We start from the raw sequence: 2,291 nt of genomic DNA, 5'->3' as shown, positions 1-2,291 counted from the left end.
ATGAGTTTTCCGGGAAAGGGGTGGGAAACTCCTGGAACTGAGGACTCTTCACCTTTTCAGACCATATAGGGGGACTTCCAGATGTTGCCTTGGCATCTGTAAACTTTCATGGCACTGAAGACAGTGTCTTGTAGCATGCTAATACATTATAATTAGCATGTAATGAGCAGTGAGGAACGACCAGAAGTCACTCTTGGTTTTGGTGGGTTTTGGCCGGCTTCTTTACCACAACCTGTTTTATAAGCAAGGTCTTTGTGACCCGTATCTTGTGGCGATCTCCTGTTTAATCCTGTGACTTGGAATGCCTAAATTCCTGGGAATGCAGCCCAGTAGGTCTCAGCCTTATTTTACCCAGCCCTGTTCAAGATGGAGTCGCTGTGGTTCAAACACCTCTGATACTTGTAGGATTCCAGTGAAAATGTGAGTTGAAGACGCAGAACTAAATAATTTCTTGTTAATACGGAAATTATTAGTCATGCCCTAATTATTTGTCACAGACAAATAGTCTATCTAAAGCTGCTGTTGCTGAGGGAAGCGTGGATTACACGCATTTCTTTTTCTATTCATTTCTGCTTTGTGCCTAGGTGCTGTTGATGAAAAGAGTCAAACTCTGCAAAATATTTTAAGAGATTTATTCTGAGACAAGTATGAGTGACCATGGCCCATGACACAGCCCTCAGGAGGTCCTGAGAACATGTGCCCAAGGTGGCTGGGGTACAGATTGGTTTTATGTATTTTAGGAAGGCGTGAGACATCAATCAAATACATTTAAGGAATACATTGGTTTGGTTTAGAAAGGTGGGACAAAAGCGAGGGCTTCCAGGCTATAGGTAAATTTAAACATTTTCTGGTTGACAATTGGTTGAAGTTGTCTGAAGACATGGGATAGATAGAAAGGAATGTTCAGGTTAAAGATAAAGGTTTGTGGAGACCAAGTTTTATCGTGCAGAGAAAGCTCTTAGGTAGCCAACTTTAGAGAGAGCGGTTTGTAAATTGTTTTTTATAGAACTTAAAAGGGTGCCTGGCTCTTAGTTGATTATCTCCCGGATCTGGAAAGGAAGGAAGAAAAACAAAGGGGGAAGGGGATTTTGTATAGAATGTGGATTCTTCCCACAAGACATTTTGCAAGGCAATTTTAAGGTATGGCAAGGAAATATATTTCTGTGGTTAAATATTTTTTTCCTTGTCTCATAATGTTATGCCAGAGTCAGATTGAAAAGTAAGTCACAATATATAGGGTCCAATAAAACCCATCTGATGAGAATTTATGGTTTGCAAGGCATGACTCCCTAGACCCCTTAGGTAGGAATTTGGGCAAGACAAAAAATCAGAGCTTAGTGCTCAGTGCTTTTGTCCCTTTGATCCCTTTCCCTTGTCCGATCATACTGGCCCCTTCTTCCTCCACTGCTCTCAGTACTTGCTGCAGTCAATTGGCAGATATTGTGTAAGTCTCCCTGCTCAGAGATGGCAGCTTGGCAACAGGGTGTTTGCAAAAACTTGCCTAGCGAAGAGGAGAACATGCTTTACTGCTGATTTAAATTTAGGAAAACCCTCCTGCTGGGTAGAGCTTGTGTTAGAAGAGAAGGCATCTTCACAATAAATTACATAGTTACAGTTTCTTTGCTGACCTGGATATTTTAGAGATTCTTAGTTTGCTTGAAAACCCGTTAGATATAATGAGACAAAAAAATTATTTATACTCCTTTCTAGGATAATATTTTGACTGAAATTTTATACATAAGTCTATAAAAATAAAAATAAAATCCCATCTGTTGGAAGGAAAGAAATAGAAAGAAAGAAAACAAAACAGAAAGAGAAATAGAAATAAAAGAGAGAAGGGAGGAAGGAATGAGGGGAAAGGAGACAAAGAAAAGAAGGCCTGAAAAGAAGGGAAGGAAAAAATGAAGGGAGGGAAGTAACTCCCATGGAGTCCTGGAGTCACTGAGCTCTGTCTTCTGGGTGGGGCCAGCTGGGGTCCCATAAGAAAAACCCTCGATGTGCTGCTGTCTTTTCGAATGAGTGTTAATATTGCATTCTTATGAGCGACCACAATTTTAGAACGCTAATCCCTCATAGACACAGTTTTAGATCTTTTATCTCTCCATCTGTCAGCAAAAGAACTGGCAAAGGTAGTGGTGAGTCATATGATGATAATTTCTTCTAGAGTTGTGTCATTTCCCTGGCAATATGAATATCACAGACATTCTATCTGCTTGGGCAAAAAGTTTCTCTTTATGGACTTTTATTATTATTTTAGTAAATGTTACATATCCAGAATGAGTTTTTAGGAA

Source organism: Homo sapiens, chromosome 7, assembly GCF_000001405.40.
Source record: "Homo sapiens chromosome 7, GRCh38.p14 Primary Assembly".
Taxonomy (NCBI): Eukaryota; Metazoa; Chordata; class Mammalia; order Primates; family Hominidae; genus Homo; species Homo sapiens.
This window is presented reverse-complemented; position numbering follows the sequence as displayed.